Below are 26,430 nucleotides of genomic sequence, written 5' to 3' on the forward strand. Positions count from 1 at the left end.
GTTTCCCACTGCTGGGCTCCCAGACTCACTATTGAGAGGAGGAGCTCCCCCACCATCCTGCAGAAATGCTGACCCCTTGCCTGTCGCTTCTGTTGCTAGAACAGGGCAGCATGTACCTTCTGTGTGTGCATGCCAGTGGGGAAGCGCAGCGGGGCATGGAGGATGATGGATTAGAAGACTGCATCTTAATCAAATGACAGACTGACTGTCTGCTTGCCCCTTTCCCAGAGATGTGCTCAACCTCTCCGGATTAGAGCAACAGCCACTTCATTTTAATCAGGGAGCTAATGGCTCCCTGAATGCCTCTTTCCTGGCAATGTCTGTCCCCTGGGGATTTTGATGAGATTGCCCTCACATGACACTCATACTCCCTAGGTACTTTCCAGACTTCCTTCAAGGTGCTGTGGCCCCCCTAGGCACACTCTCTACTTATTTAGCTTTGAAATTGTCCTGCCTTTTCTGAACAGATTGGAGGTGTCATTCCTTGTGGGATAGACATGGGATAGAGTTTGTGAGGGCTGCAGAGGACCACTGGGGTGTAGCCCTTTCTTGGGGCTGCTGCTGTTTCTTTATGAAAATGTGTGCTCTCTTAGTTTCCTTCTGCCTTCTTGCCCTGGACTTAATGTTCCTGAACATTACACTCCTGATCTCCTGCCCTCTCTTGTTCTTCTCTCTTTCCTTGACAAACCTGCCCAGCCTCTTGGTTTCAGCTATGGATTCTGATAATAACTTCTTACATTAAGTGCCTTTGTAGTTTACAGAGCATTTTTACGTCCATTACACTCATTCCTTACAGTGAGCCTGGGAGGTGGAATAGATCATATTTTTTTTTTTTGGAGGATAAAATTGAGGCACAGAATGATTAAAGCCACAGTTTGGTTATGCCCCCTGCTCCCCAAAAGAATTTGACTTTGAGGTCACACAGTGTGTGGCTGAGCCCAGAACGGACCCTCCCTCACCACGTTTCCAGCTACATCTGGTGTCTCCATAAACATCTTCCACTGGTCTTTCAAACTTGTTTCAACTTCTTGCTTCAAAAGTCCTCCTTGGTCCTCTGGTTCGGTAATGGATCCCACCACCTGCCCAGCTCCCAGGCTGGAAACCTCTGTCTGCCCCCCTCCGTACCCATGCCGCCTCCCTGAGGCCCCTCCTGTCCGTCCCACCCGTTCCTGTGCATTTTTACTGCCATGCCCCTAGGCCAGGCCTCACTTTGCCCAGTCACTCGGTTGTTCCCTGATCTCCCTGTCCCTAGTTCCTCTTAGTTCATTCGATACAGGCCTGCCAGAGTCTGCTTCCCAGGGCCTTAGCCATGTTAACAGCCCTCTCTCTGCTTCTGCACAAGGCCCCACCACAGAAGCCGGTAGAATTCATGTTCCTCCATCTTGTCACCTGGACCCTCCAGCTGCGAGTCTTTCTCAATGACTCCAGGCACCCCGCGGGTGGTCAGACCTCACTGCTCTCTGTTCCAACCAGTCACACATGGAGCCTCCCAGGAAGTGTCACTTCCTGTCCCACTTCCTGCCCGCATGGCTCCTGCTTTCCTTCCTGCCCACCATTCTCTCCAGATCAATTACCCGTGCTCATTACCAGCCCTCCCCCTTTTCCTTAAAGTTTCTGTCTCAAACGTTGCTTCTTCCATGAAAACTTTGCTCTCTCCTCAAGGCAGAACCTCTGAATTCCTCTTGGCTTTGCCTCCCTCCTACAATCCTTCGTGCTTTTCACTCGTACCTTGGTCGTCTGTGCCCATGCCCGACGTTCCTGAGGGCCGAGCCCATGTCTGACTTGTCCACAAGGTCGGAATGGACTGTGGTTAGGGCTGCTCTCCGAGCACCTCCATATAGCAGGTGCTGTCTTAGGGCTTCACATATGTTTGGTTTCATCTCCACATCATCCCTCCAGGGCAGACATCCTTACCTTTGTTTTATGAATGAGGGAACAGGCCTAGAGAGATTATGTGATTTGTTCAAAGCCTCTGAGTGAATGATGGAGCCAGGATTTGAACTCTGGATGTCAGACTCCAAATCCCGCATGTTTTCCTCCTGCAATGCTGCACCTTGTTGATGAGTGGGGTTGATTGCCCCTTGTCGTCTCACCATGCACAAGGGCAGTGCTGGCTTAAAGGATTTCATTTTAAATCCCTTAAAATTAAAGGATTTTATTTCAAAGAAATTAAACTTTCCTCCATTTCTTTGAATAAATTAGGACTACCCATGCTGGGTCAGCAGTCCACCCATCGGGCATGGATGGTGGGTGGGGTGGGATGTTTCCTCCAGGGCTGTCTTTGAAGGTCAGAAGCGTCCAGTGCCCCTGTTTCCTGTCATGGCCCTTGTGTCTCTCTCCCTGGTGAGTTTATCAAAGTCCTCTGGATCTTAGCCATGTTTTTATCCTGTGCCACCCTGCATGGTAACGAGCCCCTTGCCTTTACCCATTGCGTAAAGCTCAGACGCCCTTTATTTGTCCTCAGATAATGCTTTCGAGCTTCAAGGGTTGCCTGGGGTTCTATTTCAGGATCTGTTAGGCAGGTCTGTGTTGGCCCTCTTCACTGTCCTTCATGATTTTGCAGACTCTGATCCAACCCCATCAGCCCTGTTTTTCCAGAATGGAGTTCATGCCTTTTTAGGGTTCACCCATCATGTCTCACTTTTTCACATGCCTCTTGGGTGTCTGGTGTATTTCATGTGTGAGAATGAGTCTCCCCAGAAGAGTGGGGTGCCCTGAGGGCAGGGCCATTATTCCCTTTCCTCTAGACCTGCCCACAGCTCCACACACAGGAAGACCTTCTCATTGCACAGGTAGCCCAAGACGCCCTGTCCTTCTCCCACTCCCAGGCCTGGCCAGCCCATGCTGAGGCCAGCTTCTCAGCAGCCACAGATATCACCCATCTCAGGTTGGCTGGCTCAGGGTGCAGTGTCCATGACACCAGAACCCTTTCCTGGTCCTGTGACGGAGCGCCAGAGGTATGCAGAGCTTGGCTTTCGGGTGACTGTTGGCTGCCAGGCCCGGGGAGCAGCCCGGTGAATGGCCATGATGGGCACAGCAGCCTGCCCTGAGGAAGGGCCTCGGGCCCTGAGAGGGACTGAGGTTGGACCGGGGTGACAGGGTGGCATATGGGGATGGCACTGGGCTCTGTTCCATGCACTCTCTCTTCTCCTTTCTGCCTCCTCCCGCTTCTGCCTTTCTTCCTCATCTTTATCTTCTTCTTCCTCCCCCTACCCCTGTGTTTTGGGAGTTATCTCAGTCAGAGGCATGATCTAGTACTACCCTCTCCCCAGGTTAGTGTCTGAAGGATTTCAGTTGGTGACTTTGTGGCACTGTGGGCTACTTAGAAGTTGTGGACATTTTCAAGATCAAAGGCTGTCTTTGGAGATGGCTGGGGAGACTTGGTGGCATGTAGAGCCCCAGCAGAGACCTCCTCCATGACTAAGCATTCAGCTTGCACCCGCTGTGTGCCGCAGGCTGTTCACAGGCCCCAGCAGTGAGCTGCCCCGGTGATGAAATCCCCTCGCATTGGTGGCATCCTCCCTGGTGGAAGGGTGCTGGGGGTGTGGGGAGGAGGAGGGGTAGGGTTGGGGACTCTGAGTGGCAGATCTCGACTAATGATGGTCATGTCTGAGAGGGGAGAAGGAAGTTCTTTTTTCAAAAGTTCTTTTTTCAAAAGTTGATTTCTGATTATAAAACTAGTATAGTCACTGGAGAGTACTGGAAATAATAGAGATATATGAAAATAGCATAAATTAAAGTCATTCACAATGCCATCATCTAGAGATAACCACCGTTCTGCTTCTGGTGAATTTCTAGGGCTGTATGTGTGGGAAGAGGTTCTTTTGTTGCAAAGGACATCTTTAGTTTTAAGGGACAGAGGGACACACAGGACGGTGGGTTCCAGCACCTCTGGCTGCCTGGGCCTCCTTCCTCTGACTGTTGGCACCAGCTGTCAGCCCCTGGAGGAATGGGCAGCCTGTCGGCACCGGCTTGAGCTCAGAGCTGGGATAGGAGTGTTATGCTGGAAAGGGGACCCGGCTCCCAGGGAGCCCCTAGTGTAGTGGAGAAATACGGAGCCAGAAGGGGCTGGGACCAACAGCTCACATGACAGCCCCTGCCTGAAGCAGAGTCCTGGCAGGGGGCCACTGGGCTTCCACCCAGACTTCTCATGGTGGGGACCTCATGGTTAAGCCACCACATCGGCCAGCTCTGGGTCCCTGCGTGAGTGAGGGTGAGGGGTCGTTTTTTACTTTGTAGCTTCTAGCACCTGGTCCCTGTTCTGCCCCACTAGAGTCTCATGGGGCAGACCCCATGAACCATGGAGCGCCCCCCGCACTTAAAACTCTGCATACCTCCATGTTCAGAGTTGCCGTGTCCCTCAAGTTCTCTAAGACCAGACGCCTCTAGTTCCTACCCAGTTCCTGTGGGGAATATGATTTCCACACTCCCTGGTGCTGGTGTGGCCAGGGAGAGGTGTAGCCTCTGGCCAGGCTTCGTGGAGCAGGTGAGACTGGAATGGCGTTTAGAGGGTATGGTGATGGCAGCGAGATGGGGAAGCCCATTCCAGGCCAGGGAATGGCACGCAGGAATGTTCATCCGTGGCAGGTGTGTGCACAGGCCTGTGTGAGCGGGTGCTCTCTCCGGGGCCAGGGAGAAATCCCAGCCCCTGGGCTCCCCCCAGCCCCATGCCCTTATATAGCCGTCCCTGCACTCCCAGAGCTCCGGGGGTGGGGACGGAGCCCCCTCCTACTGTACACATGCGGGGAGCCTGCCGCTAGCTGGGCCTGGGCCGACTCTTGCAAGATCCTCTTGTCATCACAGCCGGAGTCAGCTGTTGGTTTGGGAAGCCTTCCCTGGTCCAATGTTTCACGGTGCGCAGCCAGAAATATAACCCTCCTGTTAGCCAAGAGCATGGGATCTTGGCAGGCATCCGTGTGGCCTATTTTAAACTGAAGGGAACAGAAAGAGGTGCCTCTCAGGCTAAGCTGAGGACCCTTCCTTTGCAGGGCTGAGTGAGCGGGCTGCTGGGGGCGTGTCACTTTCTCCCTTGAGGGCCGGTGGACATCTGTTAGGGGGAGGGGGTGCAGAAGGTGGGAAATGGGGCTATTTCAGGGCAGTCTGGAAGAAGGTTTTCACGATTGCACAGCAGGCCCTAAACTCACATTTGGAGGCCTGGTTGTCATGCCCTCCCACTGAACTGCTGCGTGGCGTGTCCGAGTGAGCCACTGCACCGCCCTGTTTACTCTCTCCCACCTGGAAAGCAGGGGCTCATGTGGATCTGACCCACCTCTCAGAAGTGCTCCTGTGTCCTCGGGGGTGGTGATCAACACGTTCTGGGATGGCTACAGAGCCTGTCGTACTGCTTCATGTATTACAGTCTCTCTCTCCCACCAGCCCAAGCCTGCCCTAAGCAGGCCCGCGTTCCTAAGAAAACCAAATAAAAAGACGATAGGAAAAATGCAGTAAAGATCATTAAATTGCTTAGGAGGCTGCCTGCCGGCTCAGTGAACAAAGTAATAACAATCACTCATGAAGGATGCAGTGGAGCCTGGTGCTTAAGATTTTGGATTCTGGCTTTGACCTGCCTAGCTCTCACCCTGGTAAGTTCCTTGACCTCTCTGGGCCTCGTTTCTCATCTGTGAATGGGGGTGACAGTGGCACCCACCTCCTCATAGGTTGTGGTGAGGATGCAGTGAGATAGTTGGTGGAAAGGAAGGGTGTCTGCCGCAGGAAGTGTTCGCTGAGCTCGGCCAGTGCCATGGGGTTTGCAGAACATCCTTGTAGACAGTCCCTGCGATGATGAAGCTCAGAGAGCACAGGCCAGCGATCAGCCCAGGTCCACTCGGGTAGAAATGGCAATCTTCATTAAAGGTCCACAGGGTGACAGGTGGGAATTGGGATCTGGCGACTGCCCTTGGACCCCTTTTATTGAGGGTGGGAGGCTGGTGGTGGTGGTGACAGGGTGTTTGTTCTGGAGGGAATGTGGGCAGTGTGTCCCTGGGAATGTTCTGTCTGCTGTGCGTGGGCCTGGTGGTGTGCCCTCCTGGCCAGGCATCAGCAGCACCTGTGGATGTTTGGAAGCCCCAGAACCCCAGGTGCGTGGCTGCAGCCCTGCAGACTCTCGTGCAACAGGAGGTCCAGGGTGGAGCCTGTGAAAATGCTCAGGTGATTCTGATGCCCAGCAGGGGAGTGGAGGGATAAGGATGATAGCGTCAAATGGGGCTGGGAACAAGTCCTGGCCCTCCTGCTGAGTCTTGGTTATCAACACCACCTCCTGTGACTGGTGTGAAGTGAAATGTAATGATGCATCCGGAGCACCCAGCCCCGAGCCTGGAGCACAGGCTGGTTCTGTAAATGGTGCTGACAGTAGTCACTCCTGCAGCACAGGCTGGGCAGGGGCCCATGCCTCTGTGAGGCCCTGCTTTGTTTTATTGGGGTCAGGTGCTTACTACCTTCAGGACTCCAGCTTCTTTTCTGACCTTTTCAATGCTCAGACGCTCTCTTCCTTGCCCTCATCCCTGGCCCCTGCCCCACCCCCTCAATGCTGAGGGAGTCTCTTCATTCTAGAGGTGAGAAGCGAGGGAGAACTGCCCACAAGTCAACAGAAAATGGACGCGAGTGCCCAGCCTTGCCCCTTCCCCTGGGTCAGGCCTGTGGGCACCTTCTACACCAACCTTGTGCCCGATCCAGGTTTCCAGCTACATGCTGGACATTTCTTCACCAAAGTGACAGCTAAAATGGATGACTCCTGGGTTCTGTCTTGTCCGTTCTGATGATGATGATGACAGCAGTATCCAGCCCTGTAGAACGTTCACCAGGCACCAGGCACTGCTTCAAGTGCTTTTTGTGTATTAACTTATTTTTGCTTTCTGGTGACCTTGAAGGGCATACTCTTAGTAAACCCGCTTAACATATATAGAAAATGGTTTGCACATGAACTGTGGGTCGTCAAGGGCTCTGTTTATGAGTATGCCTTCCCCAGTGCTGTCCTTATAATATTGATTCCAAGTCAGTTTCCATTAATGATCCATGAATGATGTCCAGCATGCACCACGTATTTTCATGTGGACATTTCTGTCTACGGTTTGTGACCACTGCATGGGGTGGATGCATCATGCACACATGTGTGTTGACTGTTGAGTGACTTGTATTTGTCGGTTTCCAGGGGACAGGGGAGAGGCTGGAAGGAGGGCAGCAGCTGCCCTGTCGCCAAGAGATTGGCTTTGACGCCAATCTCCCCACCCTGTGAGCTTCCTGCTGCAGTCTTCAGCTCCCCTTTGTCCCCCAGAGCCCAAAATAGCAATGCACAATCAGGAGAGACAATGAGTAGCAAGGCACGCAGCTGAGCAGGAGGGCTGATGGGTGCAGGGACAGTCAACCTTGGGCCTTCCGGCCTGACTCTGTCTGTCCCGCCAGCTCCGGGCTTTTTATAGAGAGGCTGTGTTAGGCGAGCCCGGGTGAGCTGTGCATGGACCTCATCTGACTGTGGCATGTGGACCCTTCGCAGAGGTGGCCTGAGGAGACATGGCCCCCAGGCTGACCTGGGTTTGAATCTCCCCAGCAGCTGACTGGCTCTGCCCACGGCCACATCACGTAATGGGAGCAGCGATCAGGGCAACTGAAAAAGGAAACGGGCCGAGCCCAACCCAGCTCTATTATTAAACTTTTCTCCAGCACTTTCTCCCCACTCAGCCCTTTGCCACCATATTCCTGAGATTGTCCCTGTGCCACCCCAAAGGCACATGGCCTTTGTAAGCTGGTGTGGGGAGGACGGCACGGGGGCCTGTGTCAATTCCATGGAAGCACCAATGGGATTTCTTTCTTGTTTGGTGTCATAGGGTAATTGGTTTTTAGAAAGAACTGGGGTGTCTAGCTCAGTAACCCAGAAGCCATAGACGCTTTTTCTTTTAGGTTACCCTTAGAATATGGTGAGTATCTTTCAAACAGACATGCTCTAGGCAAAGCCTTTGTGTAGACAAATAAATGAACCCATGAGGGTTTGGCTTTGTTGGAAATTGTTAGCATTCTCATCCGTACAGAGATGAGAGCATGATTTGGTAGAGACGTAGATCGTGTGGCAACAAGCTGGACACCCCTTTGTACCTCTGGTGTGGGAGGTCCCAGTAATCAGGATGTATGCTTGTGAGTTTTCTTGAGTTGAAAGCAACCCTTCTCTTGCCTGCTATGTCTTTCAGGCAGGGCTGTTAGCTGGTCACCCGCCTCTTGCAGTAGGTGGAGGTACCTCCTGCACCCAGATCTAGGCCGGTCCCCCATTGCCATAAATACCCCACTCCCACCCCTTTGCTGCTTTGGCCTTTCTTCAGACTGTTGGGTTGTCAGGAGCCAGAGAGGTGATGAAAGAATGAGAAAGAGGGAGGAGAGCTGTGGGGGCGGGGTCCCGAGGCCCAGTGGTGAGCTGGTGAGAGAGGCTGCAGGAGCCAAACCACGTCCGATAGCAGTCCTGGGGGCTTCGTAAGGAGCTGCCCTGGAAAGGCCGGGCCCCGCTGAGCGCAGCACTCAACTCATCAGAGATGACAGGACAGAGCCACTTAGGACCAGGGAAGGCACTTGCCGCAGGGGTCCGGCAGTCGCAGCCAGCATGACGGAGGCCCTGAGGCCAAGGCCACAGGCCTGGCGCCGGGCACCACATTGGGGTGGGAGGTGTCTGGTTCCCCCCAGAAGGCGAGTGGGTTATAAATAGCGGATGACGGGCTGTAGCGAGAGCTGCCTCTAGCGTAATCGTCGATTTCGGGAGCGGCCCGGCTAGGGCTGGGAGGGCCGGATGAGGTTAAATTCGGCCTTGTTGGCTGATTGGCATTTCTTGAGCTGGGTGCTAATCTCTTCAGGAGGTCAGATAAGCTCCCCAGCGGCGCCCCTGATCTTGACTTTGGTAGCTGGGTTAACTCTTTCGGGGGACTACAGAAAACCCCAAAGTCACGACTATTTCGCATTGCCTACAAGACAGCAGGAGCCATCATGGAGCTGGACTTCAAGAGGGTCCATCCAAGCGTGGGTTGGCTCCTGAAATACACGGCGACTCTCCCATATGGCCATCTCTCTGACGAGTCCATTCCCTGGGGAGGACTGTCCTGGGATAGTCCTGTAGTAAATGAAGAAATCAGCTTCTTCGCCCTGGGGAGTAGCTTAGATCCAGGGAGAACCTGGTTTAGTTGAATATCGAGGGTGAGTTGGGTGACAGGTACCAGGCAGGTGACATTGAAGTTTGGGTTTTCTTCTCATCCTGTCACCCTTCTCACAGTCTGATGAGTTAGGAGACCGCTCCCCACCAAGTTTCCAGCGACTCTTGTACTGTTCTCCAACCTTATAGGCAAGAGCAGAAAGTGCTGCTCTGTGGGTCTTGGGCTTTTGTACCTGAGTCTGCTGGTGGCATGACATCTCGCCAGTTCTGCAGGGAGTAAGGGTGGGTTTCTAGTCCTGCTTTCTCCTAGGGGTCTCGGAGGAAGCATGTGGGCAGTTCTCTGCTCTTTTTCCTTCGTGCACCTTGGGGTTTCAACCTGGTTTTCTCTTCCAGGTCCTACCCCATTTCCTCCCAAGTGGAGGATGCTGCTCTACTTCCTGCTGGGATTTATAGACCATACTATGGGTTTCTTGGAACCTCTTCTTTCCAGGACTGTGAAATCTGGTTCCCATGGAGTGTCCCAGCCCCCGACGAGCCATCCTCTGCTTGATGGCTGCTGTCTCTGCAGCATCCAAGAACAACAGTGGCTGCTTGTCCTATTACAAACTCAACTGACTGAAACCTGCTGAGACACTGTGGGAATAAATTATCCCCAACAAGCTCTCTTGTGAAAAGCCAGGCCTGTCTCCTGCACCTCCTGCCCCCTCTTCGCTGGCATCTCAGCAGGGTTCCCAGAGGCAGCCTGCTGCCTGTCCTGTTCTCACACCCTTTCTACCTACTGTGATGGTTTCTTTCTAACCACAAGTGTGATAGGTCAAGAGACTTTGGGCGGGAGGGGTAGGGGGGCGGCGGGGAGGCGACTTGTGCAGCAGGTGCCCAGAGGTGGTGAGGGTCTGATTCATTCCTTCTGTTTCTTTTTGTGTTCATCAGAGAAAGAGACCTCAGAGGAGGAGGATCTTAGATGGTTCTGCAGGACAAGCAGGCCCTTCCCCCCAGGCAGAGGTGTGGCCTGAGCAAAGCCATGTTTATGGGATGACAAACTTCCCTCCCTGTATTGTGGAGTAAGATGTTCACAATGGGGCTCCCTGGGAGATAAACCTGGGGTCAGCTCATGGAAGACCTTGAGTGCAGGGCAGAGGATTTGGGCTCCACTCATGGGCAGTGGGTGCCAGTGAAGCTCCTGAGCATGGACATGGCATGGTGAAAAGCAATTGCAGGAAGAATGATTGAGGGGGTGGCAGAGGAGAGAGGTGCAGGGATGGCTTTGACAGTGTAGGGGTCTCCAGGGCTGGTTCGTCTGCAGGTGCAGCTTGCTCAGTCTCGGGCTGAGTCCACAGGCTCTGGGGGTTCAAGAAGGGAGAGCCTTGGCGAGATTCATTTTGTGTCTGAGTCCTGTGGGTCTAAGACATGTCCTTTCCATCCAGGGATATATTCTGGGGCCCAGAATCACCTTGGTGTCCTCTCCTTTGAGATGGGGAAAGAGAGGGCAGGCCCTAGATTACTGTGGGGAGGGAGACCTCAGTGAATGTCTCTGGCCTGGGTCATGTAGCTTGCTGTCTTCTGGCAGCAATGAAGAGTGGTCGTGGGAGCCTTGACTAACCCTGTTTTGAGCTGCTGCTTGGCATTTGAGACCACAATGTCAGGCAATCTTGTGGACACCATTTCTTATCTTCCCTCCTCCTCCTCCCACCAAGGCTGCAGGGAGCTTGGGGTAACTCTAGAACCCAAGCAGCGCTGAATAACATCATTCCTTGACCCACTCCCCTGCCCTCAAGTGCCGGCTCCCAAGATCTTCTCCCAAGCCATGAGAATGGTGGGTTGACCTGGGGCCAGACTTCCCTTGGTTACTTCCAGCAGAGATTTATTGAAATCTCAATGCACAATGCGAATGTATTCATGGTCTCAGTGGACCAAGAGTGCCCAGAGGGCAGCCAGACTACATTGCCCCCCACTGTCTCTTGTCCTTAAGGTGGGATCCTGAGATGAGATGGCTGATACCCCAGTGATGGTGCCTCTAGGCAGCCCAACACCTGTGGAGCTAGAGGTTGGGCTGATTTAATTAGAAATAGAGTGTGGGTCTGAGCCCCCAGCCAGTATCCAGAAAGAAGGAATTTTACATGAATGTCCACTCTGTACTGAGCATGGTGCTTATTTAGCCTATTAGTTTGCTGCTATCATTTTCATTTTGTATGTGAGGAATGAAGGCATAGAGAAGTTAAGTCACTTTCCTGAGTTTGCAGAGCCAGGACAGGTATTTCGCCTCACTGGAGTCCACCGCCTTCATAGCCCAAGTTCCTTCTTGCTCTTCTTTGACAGAGCTTTTCACAGCCTGCAGCATTTTCTCTTTGCCGTAACTCAGTACCCTGCTACCACTCCCAGGATCCTGGTGATGCTCTAGAACTTTATTCATCATATACTAAATGGTACTTTAGAGGAAAGTTCTCAAGGACAGATTTCCAATCCCTGGTCTCCTCCCTCCCTCCATCCCTCCTTCTACAGGTATTTACTGAGCCCTTACCATGTGCCTGGCACAGTGCATCACCGTAGGGGTGCATGAGGAGCAAGTCAGGATCTCTCCTGTCACAGAGCTCACGTTTAGCAGGGAAGACAGACAATGATAAATAAACACTTGAAGTAGTAACAGACTGTCACAAGAAACGGAAAGGAAGCAAGGAAAACTTGAAGGATAAGCATGAGCCAGCCATGTGACTACCTAAGGAAGATCATTCTGGAAAAAGGGAACACCAAAGGCAAAACAGAGTGATGGGCCTCGGACCCAGCAGAGGCCTGTGAGTGGGAACCCAGCACGGGGGTGGCGAGGAAGGCAGAGGCCAGGTCTTGTCGGCCGTGGGAAGGACTCTGTTCCACATGTGAGCAAAAACCACTGGAGAAATTTGAACAAGGACCATCCTGGCTGCTCTGTGGGGAATGGGTTTGGAGGAGCCAGAAGGGCTGCTGGGAAAACAGAAAATGATAGCAGTGTAGCAGTGGAGGTGGGGAGAGATGGATGGACTGGAGATGGGAGTTGGAGGCAGAGCTGGCAGGCCTCACTGATGGATGAAAGAGTCACTTGGTTCTCTGTAGCTTGAGCAGGAAGATTTCTGCTGAGAACCTAGTACGCGTGAGATGCCTGTGAGGCATCCAGGCAGAGATAACAAGGGGGCACGTGGGTGCAGGAGGCTGGAGCTCCCAGGCAGGGCTGCCCACTCCGCTCAACGGGAGTCAGATGGGGGTGGCCCCTCAGGGCATTTTACCATCCTGTGCGGTGCTGGACATAGTTTTTGGCATAGTTTGTGCTTAATAAGTGACTATGGAAAGAGCAAGATGATGGCGTGAATGAGTTACCCGGACAAAGCTCATTAGCAGTCCCTGTTGTCACATGCCTTGGGGTGGGGATGCAGGTTTGTTCCCAGTGGATGTAACACCATTTCTGTGCCAGTGAAGAATTTGGATGTACTTGGTATTTGTAGGGATGGGGCTTGACCCTTGTGGTTCTTGACAGCAGAAGTGGAAACTTTTCCCCAGGGAACCAGCTGGGGCTACACAGAACAGGGCGAACCCTCATAGTCCCGTGCTGCTGGGAGCTGGCCTTCTGTGAAAACATAGTTCAGCTCAGAAAATATCTCTCGGGATCCTACTCTACGCGAGGCACCGTAGGAGATGCAAAATGAGCAAGATCCAGGCCTGCTTTCAAAGAGTTCGCTGGGGCAAGTCCAACAGCAGTGAATATCTGCAGGGCAAAATGTGTTCAGTGAGGGAAGTCAGGTGCTCCTGGAATACAGAGGTGGAGGGGCAGGGAGGGCGCAGGCCATGGGCCCTTCATGGAAATGATAGGCACTGCTGAGTGGTGGAGGGTGGAGGGAAGGGCGTGGCTGGTGGAGGACTCCCAGAGTAGAGGCATCAGCCCCAAAGACAGGGGGTGTGTTCCCAGAGGGATGAGGACCCTAGATTGCAGGTATAGTTGCAAAAGAATATGGAAATGATGAGCCTCTAGAGGCCTTGAAGGAACGCCATGATCAGCCATATCCCTTGGGTTGTAGGAGCCCTCTCGGGTCTGGAAGGTGTGATGTGCTCTGGGCAGAGTGATTGGATTGTGGTGACAGAGAGGAGGTGGGGTGACCAACCCGAACTCCTACCCTGTGTTCTGGCCAAAGGGATGAGACTGGGAACCAGGTCGGGAGAGTGGAAAGGAAGAGGTGGCTGCAGGAGATTTGCGGGGATGTGGCCTAAGGATTAGCAGGTGGATGAAATGTGGAGGGTAATAGTGGTGATGGTGATAGTTAACTTGTATGAGTACTGACTCCGCATTAGGCTGTGTTCTTGTTCTAAGAGCTTTAGAAGTTTTGTCCTATTTAATATTCACAACAGCTTAATATGGTAAGTACCGTATGCATTTTTGGAGGAGATAGCATTATTATCCCCATTTTACAGATGAAGATTTGGAGTCACTGAGGTCAGCTCACCCAGAGTTATATCTGGCAAGGGGTAGAGCTGGGATTCAGAACCTAGGCGCTGGCTCGAGCCTACGCTCTCAACCATGGGCCCCAGGTCCAAGCTGTGACTCCCGGCTGGAAGAATAGATGGAGAACTGCGTCTCCAAAGTAGGGGACACAGGCGGAGAAGCATGTTCAAAAGACTAGGACAGACACTTTGCCTCCGAAGATGTGACTCGGGGCATGCATGACACACAGGAAGTGGGCCTACTGCTTTTCAGTGCAAGCAGGGAGTTTCGGGCATTTTGCGATTTGAGAAGCAACGTGGGCACCCTGTTCAGGAAACCTTGGTTTTCACCCTCATGACGAACTGGGAAAAGAAGCCCTGAGGGGTACCTGCACCTGGTGCAAGAGCAAGACCCTGACCCGTCCTGCATGTCCAGTGTCCACAGACTGAGGACACTGGGCTTTGTGTGACTGTGAGGGCACCTGACGCAGCCTTGCCCTTCCCCCAAGGATGCTCTGGCCTGGGTGGCACTGGCTAAGCATCCCCATTTCAGGGACTTGGTGACCCGCTTTTTGCGGAAGGGGCAGAGTCTGCAGGATTACATCGTTGGAGGTTTGCTTTTGCAACAGAGGTCAGAGTTTCCTGAACTGAAGCCAGACTCTAGCTCCCTTGAGCAGCTGGTGCCAGAAACCTTAAGGTTCTAGCTCCAAGTAAAATCTGGTTCTTTTTCTCTTGAATAATTTCTACTTCCAGAGATGCAAAGCCGCCACGTGGATGGCAGTGGCACTGCTCCCTGTTTGTTTGTGGGTGTCTGTTTTGTGGGTGCCTGGAGGCAGCACCCTAAATCCCTCCACTTGCAGTGTTATTTCTTTTGGCTCCCGTGCCAGCCTGTATCTCAAAAGTCACTCTTTTGAGAGCTGAAGGGAACGCAGAGCCACAAAGTGCAGGCATCTGCATTCTGCCGTGCCCTCCTCGGCTCTCTCTGGCTGCTGCTCTTTTTTTTTTTTTCTGTTGAATAAGCAAAAGCAAGAGCAAATGTATTCCTCGGATCTCATATGAAAATGTGTAGTAATCGTTTCTTTTTGCTATTTTCAATATATTTCTGTTCTGTTCATTGAACTTTGTTCTCGGTGCCTCTTGCCAGCTCACTATTTATCACATAGGTCATCCCTCCACCCTGCCGTTTGCCCTTTATGAAATGGCATCTTTCCCCCTCCAGGTCTTGGTGGTGGGAATGCTTATCCTTACCGTGTAGGGGTGGGAGGAGCGGAGGGAGGGCCTGCTGGGATCTGACTTAAGAGCCTCCCCCAGCCTGTAATTGGTCAGAGGCCGCGCACAGCTCCGCTCGTTCCAGGTGAGTAAAGCGCCTGGACTCAGACGTAATTGATTCTGACTGATATCCAGGTTGGGGTGTAATTAGCAGTCTTGATTTAATGGCATTGTGGCCTGAGACTGCCATCTCCTCCCTTGTATTTAAATGGCCATTTCCCTCGGCAGGCAGGAAATTGGCATCAGACCTCGATGGTGGGACCCTGAGTAAGTCGCATCTCCGAGCCTCGGTTTCCTTAACCAGGGCCTTTGACCATGATGTCGTCTCACAAGGGGGCGAGCAGTAAATGGCAGCACGTCTCAGGCCCAGCTCACGTGACACTTGGACATCACTTCCTGCCACTCTTAGGGAGGCAGATGTGCTGGGTTCCAGCCTCCTGGCTCTGTGGGCAAGTCACTTAGCCTCGGAGGCCTCTGCCTGCTCACCTGTGAAATGGACTCATAGCAGTTGCCTTACCTGTCTCATACAGCCAGGGAGAGGACTAAGCAGAAGCACAGTCATAGGTTCTTAGGGCTGGAGAGGGCTTTGGATATTATTAGTTTCAACCTTTTGTTTTATAGGTGGGAAAACCAAGGCTCAGAGGAGTGAGTGACACCCAGGATGACCTGGCCCGTTGGCAGCACATAGTCAGTGAGCCGTGTTGTTTGGGCTTCATGACATCGCTTCGTCTAAAGGCTTACCTGTCTGTCAGCTCATAAGCATATGCGGAGAGGCGCACCTCTCCACGTGTGGCGGTGGACGGGCAGATGGCCCTTCTCCTCCATATGCTCTGGCCTGTATGAGCAGGAGGGTCTGAAGGAGGTGGTGTAGCAACGCACCGGCCTGGGGAGGCGCTCCTGTTGCTGAGCTGAAAACTTCTTTGCTTCAGCATTCCCACTTCCCTCCTTCACTCGGGCTCCCACAATCCATATATGTCTGTTTATGAAAACCAGGGCCTCTCTGTGCCCAGCATTGTGCTTGATACTAGGGAATTGTGCAGAGAGGTCTGAAGGGAGGCAGGACAGGCACCCGGCAAAGTCAGTACTAACAAGGCAGGAGAACGTTCTGGGGCCGATGACGGCCAGTCGAGCCACTGCAGAGTGTTGGGGGGTGAGGGAGGATTGTGAGCCTGGAGGAAGAGGTGGGGCTTCAGCTGGGCCTTGATGGCTCTGGATTGGACCGAGAACAGTGCAAAGGGAAGAGGAAGGCTTTTTAGGTAGAGGGACATGCCGTGAGCGGGTCTGGAGGTGGAGGTGTGGAAGGTGCATTTTGTGAACCGGGTTTACAATGAAGAGCAAGGAGGCTCTGTGAGAGGAGCATTTTTATTTGCAGAGTTTTTATCAGGTAGTGATTGGGCAGGCAAGTGTCTCAGTGATTTAGGTCACCCAGCAGAGCACTTGGGACCGTTACTTTGGCTCAGAGCATTGCTGAGAGCCTGACTGTACCTGTCGCTGTGACACTTGGCTCACCCGCCTCGAGGATGTAATGGGGCCAGAGGGAGGCAGGTGACCTCCCAATCCTCCCCCTGTCTGAGAGGCCTGGGTCGAATGGGGCACAGGGGACCCGGGGAAGGGGGTGGGGACCCAGTCTTGCTTTGGATTTGCCTCGGCCCCTTCTGGGTCACAGAACAGCTTCCCGCCCGCCAGCCCGCCTCAACCCACCTCCTCTGGAGCTGGCTTTCCGCTTATCTTAATTTATTGATGAAAACTTGTTTTACGGTCCAGAGCACAGACGGCAGCAGCTCCCTGCCAAAAGAAAGCACGCCTGCAAATCGGGAAAGCAAGCCGCCTCCCGGAGATGGGTGGCTGGGGACCGGCAGGACGGCAGAGGGAGTAGAGCCCATCTGGGCAGACGCTGCTGCAGGCCTGGGTGGACAGGGCTCGGAGAGGCCCAGGAGCAGCCTCTGTGTGCCGGCTGGGGCCGGGGCAGTGCGGGCAGTGGCAGGACCTCCCTGCCTCTCTCCACCACAGGCTCCCGACTCACGGCTGGCCTCCGTAACCTAGGGAAGGATGGCTGCAGGCTATAAATACTCATAATGGCTTTCATTTATAGTTGTGTGCAAGGCGCCATGCTAGGAAGTTTATTTTCATGAACCTCATTTAATCCTGACGACGACTCTATGTGGTAGGTACCATTAATTCCCATTTAAAACATGAGCACCAGAGAAAAAGTCGTTTTCTGCGGTCCTGCTGGCTGGTAAACGAGGGAACCTGGAACTTTAACCGGGTCTACCTGGACCCAAGGCCAGAGTCAGCCACGGCTGTCTCTAACCCACACACTCCAGCTCTGGCCATTGTCCTATCTCACACTGCAGCCACCTCTCCAGCCTGGTGGTGTTGGTCCAGCTGGCCCGGCTATTCCCAGGGTAGGACCCTGTCTCACGATCTTGTGTGTGGTAGAAGCCAGCGCAGTGCTGGGCTCAGGGCAGATGTGTGCAAGGTACCTGCTGAGTAACTAACTGGCTGGAGGATCCCATGGGCAGGTTACTCTTTTCCAAAAAGCAGAAATCCTTTCAGTGGCTTCTATGCTTTCCTCTGAAACTCCGCATCCTTGTGGGTCAAATAAGGAAATTCTCAACATTCTTGCTCACTACATCAGTGAGTTACAGGCACCGCGTGGAAAAGGGTCCAACTCCAAGGGCTCCAGTGTTTTCACCTGTAAAATGGGCTCCACTCAAGATCGTCATCACCGTTTGCAGAGACACGGTACATGAAAGCGCCCTCTGGAAAACAAATGGCAAAGCATTGTTATTATTTCCATGAGCTCCTGTTTTGTGGAGATACAGGTGCAAAAAGGTCCACTGAGCTGCAAATTTGTTTATTTTGTTCCTCCTTGCTTCCTCTTGGAGAGTGGTGGAGCCAACAGCTTTCACAGCTCTGGCAGAATCAGCAAAGCAGGTAGTCGCCCTCGGCTGGACTGAGCGTCTGTCCGCTGCCCCTGCCTGCTGTGGCCGTGCGCCCCCTCCTTTCCCCACGCCACCACCTGGGCTGTGTGTCTGGGTCCCTCCACTTCTTGGCATGCCTGTGTCACCTCCCCCAACTCAGGTTGGGCTAGAAATTTGTCGAACATGTTTGATAAAATGGAATCTTAGATCTTTCTCAGGTCTGTAGGAGGCAGGTAGAGGTTATAATCACAAGGGTCATAGCAAATTGGGTTAAAATCCCAGCTCTGTCAGCTCCATGTGTGAGCTTAGACAGGATACTCAACCTCCTTGATCCTTTGTAAAGTCAGAGAAAATGATAGTGACTGCCCTGTATGGCATTTGTGGAAAGGGTGGGACTCAGTTCTTGGTGTGTGATACGGGCTCGGTTAATGCCAGCTTTCTCCTCTGCTTGGCTGCCTCCATCCCCACTAGTGTCTTCACCAACACTACTTCTTCATCCCGTCCTCCTCGGCTACAAGGAGCACTCCAGGCCCAGAGGCTTGTGTCTGCACACTCTATCACAGCTAGCCTTCCTTTCTCAGAGTAGGGACGTGTCTGGGTGACACTCTTTCTGGCTTTCATGGGAAAGAGCCAGGCAGATGACCCAGATCCCAGCAGCAGGAGGTGGTGGGTAAGAATGTGGTTTTTGGAGTCAGATGTCCTGGGTTTCTTCACTGAACCTCGCTATGCTTGTGTTCTGTCATCTGCAAAATGGGGAGGACAAAGATGCCACTGGGTTGGGAGAATTAAATGAGGCTATAGAGGCAAAGCACTCAGACTAGCACTGGTGCACGATCGGCACTCGTCCACAGCCACAGAACATGAGGAGGAAGGGCAGGGAAGGCGGGCCGTGGGCACTGGGAGCAGGTGCAGCTGTACCACGAAGAGCTCCGTGACCTGGGACACGTTTGTCTGGGGAAACTGTGGACAGGCCAGCAGCTTTCAACGGAGTAACCTGAATTGCCATGCACATGTTGCAAACAGGATGGGTCACAGTCTCCTGTGTGACCAGGAGAGCCCTGAAGTGGGCACAGTCTGGCACGGGGCAGGGAGGGATCTCAGGTTGTCACTTAAGTTGGTGCTGAGACCATCTCTGGCAGAGAGACCTGCGCTGAGCCATCCCGTGTCCCCCATGAAGCATGTCAGAAATGCCAAAATGCTGGCGTGGGTGGACGCGGCTCCCGGCTGGCAGTATAAATAATCAGGCTGTGGGCACAGGATCCCCAGGGAGAAGATGCTCCACATGTGGGCCCTGTCAAAGGGCTAGAGCTAGAGAGTGTGTGGGTGGCTGTGTTGGGGCCAGAGGTGGACCTGGTTGTCAGGCAGTCTTTCCTGATACCTATTTGTGTAATTATGGTGTTACTTGCTGAGCTAGAGCCATGGAAGATCACCCTCATTACATTATTGAAAGGGCCTCCGACCTGCCATGGGTGGAGCCGAGGCAGCTCTGCCGAACGAGAGGCACCCAGTCATGAAGTCTTCACTGTGTGACTTTTCTTCACCTCTGGGGGCACCTCCTTTCCCAAAACAGGGAGAATGGAGCCCCCAGCCCCTTCGCCATCCTGAAGAATGAGTTACAGTCTCCTAGACGATTGGAGCTCTTTGCCAGAAGATGGTATCCTTGTCCTGTTCTCCCTGCATTTTCCAAGGAGTTTGAGTAATAACACCTTGTACAGCATTTATATTCTGAGGAACACAAAGTGCTCGGCAGGCGGAACCCTGTTCATCCCCACGGTGTCCCTGAGTGCTGGGGAGGTGCTCTTCTCTCTCTGGTTTATCAGAGAAACATCTCAGAAAGGTTAAGTGGCTTGCCAGAGCTGCACTGCACCTCCTGCTCCCCTGGGCTCCAAGTCCTGAGGTCTGGGCTGCCCATGGTTCTGCCTTCTCTGGGAAGCCCAGGTAGCTGCCAGTTACATTGCCATCCTTGAAGGTTGGTTTCTTAAGCCCATCTTGCCTCTCACAGCAGCCCTGGCTTCACAATTACTGTGTGCTTTGATGCTGTCAGAAATGCCTTTCTCCCCAGAAGCACAAAACAAAACAAATGCAGGAAGGAAAAAATATGCTGGTGGTTGGAAAATCCTTTCTCAGACCCGTCTGACAAGCTATTCTGAGTTCTTGGTGCCTTCCCTTCCACTTTACAGTGACCTTGGGAGTTGAGACAGTGCCGTGTGCCGGGGCCTCAGGCTGCCTCCTCGTGGTTCCTCCCTGGGCAGCCGTGGCTCTGGGCATGCAGGTCATGAGAGCCACCTGACCATCCCCCACTCCTGCCCAACGTAGAGTGCCCACCCTGCACATCATGCAGTGTTACTGGGTGCGGGCGGCCTGAGGCTCCACGCTGCCTTCTGACCAGTGCTGACAAGTTCCAGAGTTTGGGGAAAAGGCATGTCGAAGGGTCCTCCTCACCCCCTACTCTCCCAGCAAAGGGCAGTCCCCTCCACCAGCTCAGGGAAGCGAAGCCTCCAGTGGAGGCCATGACTGGTTTGTCAGCCTCCCTCTTGGGAATTTCTTCCCCATGCCTATTCCGTAGGTGCTGCAGCCTGCCCTCCGTGCATTCCTGCAGCCTACCCTCCGTGCGTTCCTGCAGCCTGCCCTCTGTGCGTTCCTGCAGCCTGCCCTCTCTGTGTTCCTGCAGCCTGCCCTCTGTGCATTCCTGCAGCCTGCCCTCTCTGTTCCTGCAGCCTGCCCCCTCTGTGTTCCTGCAGCCTGCCCTCTCTGTGTTCCTGCAGCCTGCCCTCTCTGTGTTCCTGCAGCCTGCCCTCTCTGTGTTCCTGCAGCCTGCCCTCTCTGTGTTCCTGCAGCCTGCCCTCCGTGCGTTCCTGCAGCCTGCCCTCCGTGCGTTCCTGCAGCCTGCCCTCTGTGCGTTCCTGCAGCCTGCCCTCTCTGTGTTCCTGCAGCCTGCCCTCTCTGTGTTCCTGCAGCCTGCCCTCTCTGTGTTCCTGCAGCCTGCCCTCTCTGTGTTCCTGCAGCCTGCCCTCCGTGCATTCCTGCAGCCTGCCCTCCCTGTGTTCCTGCAGCCTGCCCTCTGTGCGTTCCTGCAGCCTGCCCTCCGTGCGTTCCTGCAGCCTGCCCTCTCTGTGTTCCTGCAGCCTGCCCTCCGTGCGTTCCTGCAGCCTGCCCTCCCTGTGTTCCTGCAGCCTGCCCTCCGTGCGTTTCTGCAGCCTGCCCTCTCTGTGTTCCTGCAGCCTGCCCTCTCTGTGTTCCTGCAACCTGCCCTCCGTGCATTCCTGCAGCCTGCCCTCCGTGCATTCCTGCAGCCTGCCCTCTGTGCGTTCCTGCAGCCTGCCCTCTCTGTGTTCCTGCAGCCTGCCCTGTGTTCCTGCAGCCTGCCCTCTCTGTGTTCCTGCAGCCTGCCCTCTCTGTGTTCCTGCAGCCTGCCCTCCGTGCGTTCCTGCAGCCTGCCCTCTCTGTGTTCCTGCAGCCTGCCCTCCCTGTGTTCCTGCAGCCTGCCCTCCGTGCGTTCCTGCAGCCTGCCCTCCCTGTGTTCCTGCAGCCTGCCCTCCCTGTGTTCCTGCAGCCTGCCCTCTGTGCGTTCCTGCAGCTTGCCCTCTGTGCGTTCCTGCAGCCTGCCCTCTGTGTTTTTCCAGCCTGCCCTCTCTGTGTTCCTGCAGCCTGCCCTCTCTGTGTTCCTGCAGCCTGCCCTGTGTTCCTGCAGCCTGCCCTGTGTTCCTGCAGCCTGCCCTCTCTGTGTTCCTGCAGCCTGCCCTCCGTGCGTTCCTGCAGCCTGCCCTCCCTGTGTTCCTGCAGCCTGCCCTCCCTGTGTTCCTGCAGCCTGCCCTCCGTGCGTTCCTGCAGCCTGCCCTCCCTGTGTTCCTGCAGCCTGCCCTCCCTGTGTTCCTGCAGCCTGCCCTCTGTGCGTTCCTGCAGCCTGCCCTCTGTGTTTCTGCAGCCTGCCCTCTCTGTGTTCCTGCAGCCTGCCCTCCGTGCGTTCCTGCAGCCTGCCCTCTCTGTGTTCCTGCAGCCTGCCCTCTCTGTGTTCCTGCAGCCTGCCCTCTGTGTTCCTGCATAGGGATGGGAGACAGCTGTGCCCTCTTGCTCACTTGATCTGCCCAGGGTCTGCAGCAGAGGCTTGCAGTCTAGAGGCCACATCCTTCCATGCCCAAAGTGAGCAGGAGCTGCACGGGCTGGTAGGAGCTTGGGATTGCTGAGTCACAAGCGCTCCCTGTGTGGCCCTTTTTCGCTGCACCCACCCGCACCCCCTCTCGTGGCTGCACTGTGCATCCTCTGTCTGGGAAGAGCCCCTGGCCCCACTGCCCAGGCCCAGGATGGGCTTGATTGGGAAGAAGATGTGGTTTTGCCCCGCGTGCACAGCCTGTCCTGGTAGGGCTGCGGCGGCAGCGGGAATCGATGTTTATGGACTGGTGAATGATCACTCCTCTTCTACAAGGCTGGCAGGTGCTCTCTATTATCTGCTGCTCTTTGGCATCCCGGCCACACGTCATTTTGTGGTCCTTCTGAGGGCTGTTCCTCGGACTTTGTTCCTTCTGACAGCTTCGGCCCTACACCGGGCCCCCTAGGAGGTTCTGAACATGCCTCTACCTTCTTTTCCAGTTCCCCATGGAGGAAGAAGGCCTGTGGGTCAGTTTGAGAAGTAGAAAGATGCTGGCACCCAAGAAAGTGGACTTAAGGCCCGCTGTCAGGTGGCCTGGGGATGGGGTATAGATGGAGGTGCGGGAGGTGACCTGCATCGTCCTGTAGCCTTTCTCCCAGAAAGAGGCATAGCTTATAATGGGGTGTGTGGGGACAGCACATGATAGATGCCCCCATCCCTCCCCTTCTCTGGTCCTTGCTATCTAGGCATCGCCGTGTTGGGGACTGGGCCATCTCTCACCCATGCCTTCATCTTTGAAGCCCGGAACAGATTCAGGTTCTCCCTGCTCCCAGGGCTATACCAACCTAGAGTCTCACAGATGCCTTGATTGGAGCAAGCCCCCAGGCAGGGCAGGTGCCCCCCATACTGAGGCTAGGCCAGGAAGCCCAAACAGATGGGTAGCACTTCAACAGGGCCAACCCTGCTCCCAGCTAGGGGCCAGAGGACACCAAGCCCTTTGTGGAGCTGGGGGCCAGGACTGCTGGTGACTGGGCATTTATCCCACCACGCAGGGCCCTGACACCCCTGGAGGGGGGTAGGGGCTGTCCCCAAAGTCTCGGATAGAATCTCCTTCATCGTGGACTCTTCCACCCCAATATACACTTCGGGATTTTAGATTGCAAGAGGTGTAGGTATTGTAACAGGACTCACTCTCAACTGCTAGGGGTTTTGGTCAATTGGGGAAGGGTTACAAAGTTGGCTGGAGAGAATTGACAGTCTTGAAACATAATTCAGGAGCTTTATAACTGCAGAGGCTTGCAGCCCCCAAACACGATGCCCCTTAAGTTTGGCCGTGGGTAGACATTCTCTCTTAGAACTGTCTCACATGGAGAATAACCCCATTCTGGTATAATCAAAATGTAACTGGGTTGTAGATATGCAAATGCTTTATGTAATGTTTATTTGGAGGAAAATTAGGCACAAAAATATGGGTGTCATCTCCCTGACACCTTTGTAAGTTGGTGAGATTAGGGGCTGCAAAGTGAAGGTATGAAGGTGAATTGGAGGCTTTGAGAGAAAGTGTGGGGTCCAACAGTAATGACCAAGGAATCATGCCATCTGGCTTGAAGTTATGCACCAGCTCAGTGTGAGACTAAACTGTGCTATGGCTGCCACTCAAGCCAATGGGGCCTTAGGCTGAATTACTAGAAGTATAGAGCTCAGAACGTAGGAGGGGAAGAGCTGGGTCCTACCATAGCTGGAGCCTAACTTTCAGTTTGAGACAGGCCTGTTTTACTTGTTCTTAGTGGGCTTCTTGGGCAAAACTAGGATTGATGCATGTTAGCCACAGGGAAGTAGATTCTTGCATTAATAAGAAAGAATTCCTGGCTGATTAGAGGTATGCAGAAAAAAAAAAAAAAAGAAGAATGGAGTGCATTGTGGGATGGTGAGCATTCAGCCCCTGGGAGACCCGTGTGGCTGCATCCCACCCCATGGTTCCAAGGTGCTGTGGTCCTCCTACCTGCTGGGTGACTTCAGCAAAGATGTGTCTGTGACTTTGTCCCTTCATTTCTCTCCATGCAGAATTGGAGGCATCGTCTGCTCTCTTGCCTTCCCTGCCCCTCCTGCCTCTCCCTTTATGGCTGTGAGAATGAATGAGCTGCGGGGGCCCTTGGAGGCAAGGGGTGTCTGAAATACAAAGCAGCGGCTGCGCTCCTGGCACCGATGTATTGTCTCTGCTCCCCATGATGAAGTTCTTGGCAGGTCGGCTTCTTCCAGAGCCAGGCAGGTTCATTACTAGCCAGCATGTCAGGCTGTGAAATTAAAGCTGTTTTGGTTTTTTTCTTTTTTAAAAATTCTCCACATCCACTAATTTATTAAATGCCATTAAATGTTGGGCCTGGCCTTGGCTCATAGAAACATTAGGGAGCACTCAGTCCTAGCATTTGAAAATTTCCTGCAAGCAAAAAGTGGATGAGGGTGTCAGGGGGGCCAGGTCAGGGGCCACCAGTGACATCTGATGCCAGAAGCCCAGGTGCCTTGTGGGGCTCTGCAGACACATGAGGCAGTGGGGATTAAAATAGGGCAGCAGAGGTGGGAGCAACCTGAGGGCACTGGGGGTTCCAGGAGTGGGGAAGACGGGGTGAAGAGGAGGCTGCTTTTTCAGGAGGATTTGCATGTCTGGGTCTGGTCCTGTTCCCCAGCTATGGCCCACTCAGGCCCCTCCATCCATCCCCATCATTCATTCATTTATTCATTCCTCCAGCAAATATTTATCTAGTAATCCAGGCATGTTCTGGGCCCTACAATGGAAGAAAAATGGATAAGACACAAACCTGGGTCCTGGAAGTGCATGTGTGTTTTTTTTTTTTTTCCCCAAAGTGCTGGGATTACAGGCATGAGCCACTGCGCCCGGCCGTGTGTGTGTGTTTAGTGAGGGTAGGCAGCAAGTCTACACAGAAGCCTGAGAGGTCCTAGGTGTGTCCTCTGCTGTGGGCCCGGCGCTGGCAGAGGAGTCATCCCTGGCGAGGGGCCGCTCCCACCAGTGGGAGACCGATGGGACCCATGAGATATGGGCAGTGGCTGCCCCTAGGATCTAAGCAGCATGGAAGTGGGTGGAGAAGCTCAGGACGGGGAAGCCCGAAGGGGGAATTGTGTCCCTCACCCCCAGAGAAATAGGATGCCTGCGTGAAACATACGTAACGACACGTGGCAGAAGCCTGTATTTAAACCACAGTCAGCATGGTTCAAACTGAAGACAAGGAAGACACCGTGGGGATATTAGCTAACTACAAGACTTAACAAATGAGGTGAGGCTGGAGTGTGGGCTCACTGTATGGCCATAGCCTGACTGGGCCTCAGTTTACCTGCTGCGCGTATTGTGGATGGGCCCCTGGTGACAAAGAAGATCCTGATACAGCCTGATGACTTGAGGCTTTTCTCTGTGCTGGGGGCCTGCACCCTTTCCCTCCTCCGGAGTCAGGGCACGGCCCAGACCAGATCGCCCTGTGGGATTTGAAGGCGTTGCCAGCCCTGCTCTAGGCTCTGCGGATTTAACCACAAAAACAACAGACCCAAATCCTGGCCCTCAAGGAGGCCATTGGCAAATGTAAGGATGGGATTCGTCTTCTCAAATTTGGATGTGGATTTGTTTGTAGCCCTGATTTGAAGTTATTTTGAAATGCCTTCGGCTGGGGAAGGGGCAGGGGAGGCTTGGTACTCAGGCTGGCCCCTGGACCTGCACCTGCTCCGGGGAGGGCATCAATCAGGCCTGGACCACACCAGGAGTGGCTGGTGACCTTCTGCGGGTTGGTGCTAGCATTGCCTGGGGCCCAATCCCCTGAGTCACCCTGCCTCACCCCAGATTGTCCCATCGTGGGCTAGATTATAGCTCAGTCATCTCAGCTGAGACAAACCCCTGGTTTTGGAAGGGAATTTTCCCAAATGCCACCAGCTAAGCTCTCCGGCCCTGAGCTTTGGCTGTGCCACCACAGACAGGCCTTGCCTCCTTCCTGTGCTATGTGCTGGGCTCCCTCCACCAGAGGCGGCTCCCCTGCCCTGCACCTCCCTCTCCTGCTCCTGCCGCACCCTCTCCCTGCCCGCTGCACTGGCTTCAGAGGTCAGCTTCCTGACTTCCTGCCCTCCTGCCTGTGCGGGGCAGGCCTGGCTCACCAAGACTTCATGGCCAACCTGTCTCTGCCATCACCTCCTCCCTCCTGCCCTTGCTCCCTCCCCGATCTCAGCCCCGGCTGTCCCCAGCTCACCAGCTGGCATCTTTGGGCATATCGCTGTCATTGGCTCTCCCTTCCCCACCGCTGGAGGGAACACATCAGATTCTTTCTCCAATGGCTGTTCTCAAGATGTTGGCAGCCCAAGGGTGGGTGCCTGGCGTGGGGGGATAGGGTAGGGGGCGGGGTTTCTCAAACTCTATTGACAATTGGGGCCAGACAGTTCTTGACTGTGTGGACTGTCCTGTGCACTGCGGGGTGTTTGGCAGCACCCCTGGCCTCTACTCACCAGGTGCCAGGAGCAGCCCCTCCCATTGTGGCAACCAAAAACGTCCCCAGACATGCCACATGTTCCCTGGGGAGCAGAATTGCTCCTGATTG

The 26,430-nt window shown here is 54.1% G+C and overlaps 1 protein-coding gene across 10 annotated transcripts in view, besides 2 other annotated features; it reads left to right on the top strand.

The window, feature by feature from the left end:
* The window catches only part of TSPAN9 (tetraspanin 9), a 209,181-nt gene that overhangs the window by 170,438 nt on the left and 12,313 nt on the right, over positions 1 to 26,430 (top strand). The window contains exon 1 of one of the 10 annotated variants that reach the window (XM_047428129.1): positions 25,285 to 25,430. The exons of the other annotated variants lie outside the window; for them this stretch is intronic. The gene's annotated coding sequence lies outside the window, so the exon portion shown is untranslated. Of the gene's footprint in view, positions 1 to 25,284; positions 25,431 to 26,430 lie in introns of those variants that run through there. 10 annotated transcript variants of the gene reach the window in all.
* Positions 16,111 to 16,700: an enhancer, noted in NCBI's record as "H3K27ac-H3K4me1 hESC enhancer chr12:3373093-3373682 (GRCh37/hg19 assembly coordinates)". NCBI's record gives its function as "activates a minimal SCP1, AML or CMV promoter by ChIP-STARR-seq in primed H9 embryonic stem cells {active_cell/tissue: H9 hESC(primed)}" and the evidence as "EXISTENCE:reporter gene assay evidence [ECO:0000049][PMID:30033119]".
* Positions 16,701 to 17,289: an enhancer, noted in NCBI's record as "H3K4me1 hESC enhancer chr12:3373683-3374271 (GRCh37/hg19 assembly coordinates)". NCBI's record gives its function as "activates a minimal SCP1, AML or CMV promoter by ChIP-STARR-seq in naive H9 embryonic stem cells {active_cell/tissue: H9 hESC(naive)}" and the evidence as "EXISTENCE:reporter gene assay evidence [ECO:0000049][PMID:30033119]".

The sequence above is a fragment of the Homo sapiens genome, chromosome 12 (assembly GCF_000001405.40).
Source record: "Homo sapiens chromosome 12, GRCh38.p14 Primary Assembly".
In the NCBI taxonomy this organism is placed as follows: Eukaryota; Metazoa; Chordata; class Mammalia; order Primates; family Hominidae; genus Homo; species Homo sapiens.